Source organism: Homo sapiens, chromosome 10 (assembly GCF_000001405.40).
Source record: "Homo sapiens chromosome 10, GRCh38.p14 Primary Assembly".
Classification (NCBI taxonomy): Eukaryota; Metazoa; Chordata; class Mammalia; order Primates; family Hominidae; genus Homo; species Homo sapiens.
The window spans coordinates 99,725,317-99,732,210 of record NC_000010.11 but is presented as its reverse complement, the minus strand read 5'-3'; the positions used below and the strand labels follow the sequence as shown (position 1 = coordinate 99,732,210).

At 42.8% G+C, this 6,894-nt stretch overlaps 1 protein-coding gene across 12 annotated transcripts in view, besides 1 other annotated feature; it reads left to right on the top strand.

Annotated features, from left to right (window-relative positions):
- The window catches only part of COX15 (cytochrome c oxidase assembly factor COX15), a 37,835-nt gene continuing 31,024 nt past the window's right edge, over positions 84–6,894 (top strand). For 10 of the 12 annotated variants that reach the window (XM_006717634.4, NM_001320974.2, NM_001372026.1 and 7 more), the window contains exons 1-4: positions 84–251; positions 2,477–2,658; positions 4,648–4,770; positions 5,057–5,243. In XM_006717634.4, coding sequence (XP_006717697.1) covers positions 162–251; positions 2,477–2,658; positions 4,648–4,770; positions 5,057–5,243 — 582 coding nt within the window. In that variant the 5' untranslated portion in view covers positions 84–161. The remainder of the gene's footprint in view (positions 252–2,476; positions 2,659–4,647; positions 4,771–5,056; positions 5,244–6,894) is intronic. The other 2 variants (NR_164009.1, NM_001320976.2) reach the window with 1 other exon arrangement.
- Positions 163–382: an enhancer, noted in NCBI's record as "active region_3872". NCBI's record gives its function as "activates an Ori minimal core promoter by ATAC-STARR-seq in GM12878 lymphoblastoid cells {active_cell/tissue: GM12878}" and the evidence as "EXISTENCE:reporter gene assay evidence [ECO:0000049][PMID:35858748]".

Here is a 6,894-nt window from a genome sequence, read left to right as displayed (position 1 = left end):
GAAAGCGGAGTCGCAACGCAGGCGCACTTCTGTTCGCTCCGGTCCCCAGAGAAGGCGGGGCTCCCGCTGCCCGACCCGGAAGTGCTTCTCTTTTCCTTGGCGGAGGAGGGAGACCACAGAGCCCTGGGTTGTGGAAGAGGTGGCTGTTCCCTGTCATCAGTATGCAGCGATTGCTCTTTCCGCCGTTGAGGGCCTTGAAGGGGAGGCAGTATCTGCCGCTCCTGGCTCCTAGGGCAGCGCCTAGAGCACAGGTACCGCACTGCAGCGGACTCCGAGTCGCGGGAGCGGGGATGGAGTGAAAGGGCCGGGATAAAGATAATGTAGAGCCCCACATCACGTTTCCGGAGCTCCTTACAGTGCACTCACAACGCATAGGTTCAGATCAGAGCCCCTAGGTTCAGATCTGGAACATTGACCTGCTGTGTGGTATTGGCCAAGTTAATTAAACTTTCTGTTCTTCAGTTTCCTTATCTGTAAAATGGGGATAACAATACCTACTTTAAGGTTTGTTATGAGGATTACATTCTTTAATATACATCAGGCCTTTAGCACATGGTAAAAGCTGAGTAATTTTTACCCATATAGTTTATTTTTGCTTAAAAAGTTCCAAGTAGTCAGATGAGGAAGTATTACTGCATCCTACAGAGAAGGAAATTGAGGCTTAAAGTTACTTTTCTAAAGGTGACTCAGTTAATCAGAAATAGGAAACCGAGCATGGATCTTTGGACTCACAGGGATATAGTAAGAAGAGGGCATGCATTTGCTTAACTAGTAATTATTGAGTGGTTATTATATATTAGGAACTGGAAAAAGAAAGATAAATATTACAAGACTCCTGCCCTGGAGGAAGTCAGTTTATTCATTTGCGAAATCCTTATCATGGTCTCATTATATAAAGGAACAGTGTTAGAAACAAAGCTAGCAGAAGGGAGAGAGCAAGACTGACCGGACACTGCCACCCCAAAGCTCATAGTTTAGTGGGAGATACAAACAGATGAACCTGAAGGTAGAGTGATGTGCTGCATAACAACATTTTGGTCAACAACAGGCCACAGATACAGTCATGGTCCCATAAGATTATAATGGAGCTGCCTTTCCAAGTGTACCTTTTTTTTAAAAAAAAATCTTTTTCTCTAAATTTCTTTTTTAGAGACAGCGTTTTACTTTGTCACCCAGGCTGGAGTGCTGTGGCATGATTATAACTCACTGCAGCCTCCAGCTTGGAAATCCTGGCCTCAAGCATCCTCTTACCTCAGTCACTTAAGTAGCTAAGACTACAAGTGTGTGCCACTGTGCCTAATTTTTGAAAAAATAGAGATAGGGGGTCTCGCTACATTGCCCAGGCTGGTCTCGAACTACTGGCCTCAAGTGATCCTCTCACCTTGGCCTCCCAAAGCCTTGGGATTATAGGCTTGAGCCGTTGCACCTGGCCCCATTTTTAAATCTTTTATACCATATTTTTACTGTAATTTTTCTATGTTTAGATAAACAAATACCATTGTGTTACAGTATTCGGTACATAATATGCCATACAGATTTATAGCCTAAGAGCAATAAGTCATACCATATAGCTCAGGGGTGTAGTAGGCGATACCATCTAGATTTCTGTAAGTACTTTTTTTTTTGAGAGATGGAGTCTCACTTCATCGCCTAGGCTGGAGTGCAGTGGTGAGACCTTGGCTCACTGCAACCTCTGCCTCCCAGGTTCAAGTGATCCTGCCACCTCAGCCTCTCAAATAGCTGGGATTACAAGCATACACCACCATGCCCAGCTAATTTTTGTATTTTTGGTAAAGATGGGGTTTCACCATTTTGGCCAGGCTGGTCTTGAATTCCTGACCCAAGTGATCTCCCTGCCTCTGCCTCCCAAAGTGCTGGGATTACAGGTGTGAATCACTACACCCAGCCTTTAGATTTGTGTAAGTACATTCTATGAGGTTCACACAATGATGAAATTGCTTAAGAATGCATTTCACAGAACATGTGCCCCTGTTGTTAAGTGATGCTTGACTGTACATTACAGTGTATTAAGGGCTTTCCAGTGTGCTGTGGGAGTGACCTATTGCAGACCTTGAAGAGCCTGGGAATACATCCCAGAGGAGGTGACATGTAAGCGGAGATCTGCAGTAGGTATTATTAATCAGGGGAAAGGAAGTGTACAAGCCAGAGAGAAATGTTGAAAGACCTAGAGGTGAAAGAAAATATTCCATATCTGTAAGTAGAGTGAAGTCTGAGGGAAGTATTCAGAGATGAGAAGATTCATGTAGTTGGGGATAGGTTTGAGTGAGGCTAGATTTGAAAACCAATTGGAAAACCAGTTGGAAGGCTGATGCAGTAATCCAGATAAGAGATGATGACTTAACAAGACATGGCTGTGGGGATGCTATGGTACTTCGCGCTAATCAGAATGGGGTTGAGTGTGGGTAGCAGCCATTCCCTGTTTCTCCAGTTGTAATTTGTCTATCTTGATCTTTAGTGTGATTGCATCAGGCGCCCTTTGAGGCCAGGGCAATACAGCACCATCTCTGAAGTAGCTTTGCAATCTGGAAGGGGTACAGTGTCCCTTCCCTCAAAGGCTGCTGAGCGGGTGGTGGGCCGATGGCTCCTGGTCTGCAGTGGAACAGTGGCTGGAGCAGTTATTCTTGGTGGAGTAACTAGGTAAGTAATTTGCTCGTAGTGAGTCAGGTATTTGGATCATCAGTAGAAGCACAGGTTGACTGAGGAGAAAGGATTTTTTTTTTTTTTTTTTTTGAGACAGAGTCTTGCTCTGTTGGCCAGGCTGGAGTGCAGTGGTGTGATCTCGGCTGACTGCAACCTCCGTCTCCTGAGTTCAAGCGATTCTCCTGCCTCAGCCTCCCAAGTAGCTGGGACTAGGCGCGTGCCACCATATCTGGCTAATTTTTTGTATTTTTAGTAGAGACAGGGTTTCACCATGTTGGCCAGGCTGATCCAAACTCCTCACCTCAGGTGATCTGCCCACCTCGGCCTCCCAAAGTGCCAGGATTACAGGCATGAGCCACCATGCCCAGCTGGAGAAAGGAATTTTACAGAGCATCTAGTCTAGCTCCCTCATTGTATAGATGGAGAAACCGAGGCCTTAAAGAAGGAACATGTCTGATGGCTTGCCCTGCCATAGAACAGTTGAGTGTTTTATTAGTAGGAGCCTTCTATAAAGACTGGTTTATGTCTTAACTGGTACCTGTGCATTGTTTATGTATCTTTTCTCTTTCAATCAGAGTCCAAGTTTGTCTCAAAACTTTTTTTACAGTTTGTTTGAATTAAACCCAAAGAAGTTCTGTACATCACAATTGGTTCATGTTTCTTAGGTTTGTTTAAATCTATCAAGAGACTATAGATTTAGACACTCCTCCCTTTCCCCCTCTTCTAGTTGCTGAGGAAACTCTAGTCATTTGTCCTATGGTTATGCACAGTTTAGATTTTGCTGACTGCATAACTGTGTGATATTTAACATGTTCCTTTGTCCCGTCTATTTCCTGTGAATGAGTAGTTGGTTGATCAGATTCAAATTAGGGATGAGGGAGCAAAATACTTCAGTAGGTGAATAGAACATTCGTGAATATCTGGTGTCTATTATAGATGTTAACAGCCATTAATTACCATTGCCTAGATCCATTATTTCATTAGCGTAGCAAAATTATAATATTTTATTAGCTCAACTCTAAAAAGCTTTCCCTCATCATCAGTTTGGATATCCCAAGGTATAGTTTGTATAGGAAAGGCAGGATACATACTTGATTCTTCTTTCCCTTTATTTACCAATTTTCAAAATAATAAATTGGTCCCCCAAATCCTCCAAAGGCAACAAATAAAGGATTTGAATTTTTAAGGCTCATTATGAGATCATAGGTTCAAACACACTCGATAATGTTTCGGTCCGTTGTGATGATGGTGTTAGTGATTTGCTCAGATTGTCCCATCTTTAGTCAGTGGGCATCTCCTGAAATTGGCTCTAGTGACTTTTTGGCAGGGCCCTAATTACCTTTGATAGTTTCCTTACTTTCTAGTATGACAAGATGTTCCGAGCTCATCTTGTGCATTTCTTGCCTCAGGCCTAAAATCAGGCTTTTACTCTAGGAATCCTAATTCCTTTTGGTAAAAAAGTTTCTAGTTTTAATCAAATGTGTCTTCCTCAAATTCTCTTCACATTCCACGTCCCTTATTTCAAAATACCTTATGTGTTATATAGGTTGTTATGAGCAAGTGAAACAAATTTGAATTTTATTGTCTTTAAATTCACCCAAGAATCTAAACCTGTATACATGTAACAGGTCTCTTTTCCCTGGGTAAGGAATGTTGGTTATGCATTTAGAACACATTTCTTTGGCTGTAGGGGTTGATTTTACCTGTTGAGGAATGCTAGTGAAAGGAAGAATTGGGAAAAAAAAAAGAATTGGGGAGAGTTGAATAAAAGGATTGAGAGAATATAAGGGTAAATAAATTTGTACCTGATGGCAGCTGTTTCTGACAAAATTCCAAGCAGTAACAGAGAAATGTCTCAAAAGAGGAAACAAGGAAACAATGTGTTTACCTTTAACAAGGTTAAGTTCAGATCCACTTGTTGCTATAAACCTTTTGTGAGTAATCCAGCCTCACGCATACACCCCAAAATTTCTTTCCTATCCTAAGGTTGACAGAGTCTGGCCTCTCGATGGTAGATTGGCATTTAATAAAGGAGATGAAGCCACCTACAAGCCAAGAGGAATGGGAAGCAGAATTCCAAAGATACCAGCAATTTCCAGAATTTAAAATGTAAGTATTAGAGAAAATTAGGTAAACATCCCAGTAGGCCCATTTGATCTTTTGGACTTAAACCCTTCAGAATGGTTAGATTATTTCATGAACTTCGGTTCAGTTATGTTTAGTCAGCTTGTCTTCTAAGCCCCCAAATCCAAAGTCATCCTGAGGTCGTTGATGAGGAAGAGGGCAGACCTACCAAGTTGCAGGACTGAGAAAGAAAGGTTTTGCATTCCGTAAGAAAATAAAAATCAGAAGGATGTTTCCTCCTCCTCCTTTTTTGACTTTCCATTTCACCCAGCTTGAATCATGATATGACACTGACAGAATTCAAGTTCATCTGGTACATGGAGTACTCACACCGAATGTGGGGTCGCCTTGTAGGCCTTGTGTACATCCTGCCTGCTGCCTACTTTTGGAGAAAGGGCTGGCTCAGCCGTGGCATGAAAGGACGTGTTCTTGCCCTCTGTGGCCTCGTCTGCTTCCAGGTAAGATTTATTCAAGGTTGAGAAACCAGAAATGCTCCCAGGAGCTTCCTAGTTGGCATTGTTTTTTTTTTTTTTTTTTTGAGACGGAGTCTCGCTGTGTCGCCCAGGCTGGAGTGCAGTGGCGCGTGATCTCGGCTCACTGCAAGCTCCGCCTCCCAGGTTCATACCATTCTCCTGCCTCAGCCTCTCGGTAGCTGGGACTGCAGGCACCTGCCACTATGCCTGGCTAATTTTTTGTATTTTTAGTAGAGACGGGGTTTCACCATGTTAGCCAGGATGGTCTCGATCTCCTGACCTCGTGATCTGCCTGCCTTGGCCTCCCAAAGTGCTGGGATTACAGGTGTGAGCCACTGCGCCCGGCCCCTAGTTGGCATTCTTTTTAAGGAAATAATCTCTGAGGCACTTTAATAGAATAGGTAAGAGCATGCATTTTAGTGTCACAGGCCTAGCTTCAAGCCCCAGCTCTGACACTTAGGGTAAATTACCTAACCTCTGAAAGCTATGATTTCTTTACCTGTAAATGGGGATAATAACAGTGCCACCATGTACAGTCGTGTAAATATTAAATGAGATAATCCATATTTAAAGTACTTAGCTTAGTGCCTGGAATCAGTAAAGCACTCAGTAGTATATTTTCATGTGCTGCAAGATGTAGTTTGTTTCCCATCATGGGTGTCTCCCTAGGTTCTTGTCTCTCCTCTTTTTCTAACTTGTCTGCTATAGGAAAGAGGGATCCCTGTGCTAGAATGCCACAGAAGCATACAGGAAAATTCCAAAAGAGAGAAACACTTTGTGGGATGAAGGATTGTAGAATACCCATGTAGCTGAGAGATATTCAGATATAAATGGCAATTAAAATCACGTAAGTTGAGCGCCTCTTAAGGAAAGACTCCCACAGTTAACAGGTTAGTACTGCTAGAATGATGAAAAAAAAAAAGTTGGGTGAAACTGAGCAACAAATTAAAAGAGAAGACACATAGGAGTATTTGGGTCAAGGTTTAGAGATCCTAAAGGAGATTATCAGGGCATCAAAGAAACATCAAAATTTAATCAGGAGGAAGCTAATTGGTTAATTTAACTCAGAAGTGGTAAGAAAATGAGTCAGTTAGAAGGGATTAAGGCCGGGTGCAGTGGCTCACACCTGTAATCCCAACACTTTCGGAAGCCAAGGTGGGGGATCAGGAGTTCCAGACCAGCCTGGCCAACATGGTAAAACCCTGTCTCTACCTAAAATACCAAAATTAGCTGGGCATGCTGGCGTGGGCCTGTAGTCCCAGCTATTTCGGAGGCTGAGGCAGAAGAATTGATTGAACCGGGGAGGCGGAGGTTGCAGCGAGCTGAGAGGTTGCACCACTGCACTCCAGCCTGGGCAACAGAGCAAGACTCTGGCTCAAAAAAAATAAATAAAGAAAGAAGGGATTAAGGAGGGAGATGAGAGAGAAGAAATAGAGGCAGCAGAAACAATAATCAAAGTCTAATAGTAACCAGAGAAAGGCATGTAGAACAAAATGAAAGTTAACATTTTAGAATTAGAAAAACAAGCCAACACTGAAAACACTATTAGGGAGGCAGAAATTAAAGATGTCAGATAAGGTATGGGAGAAGAAAGTGGGCTAGTGAATCAACTGTGTACGTCTTCATCTTTCAATGT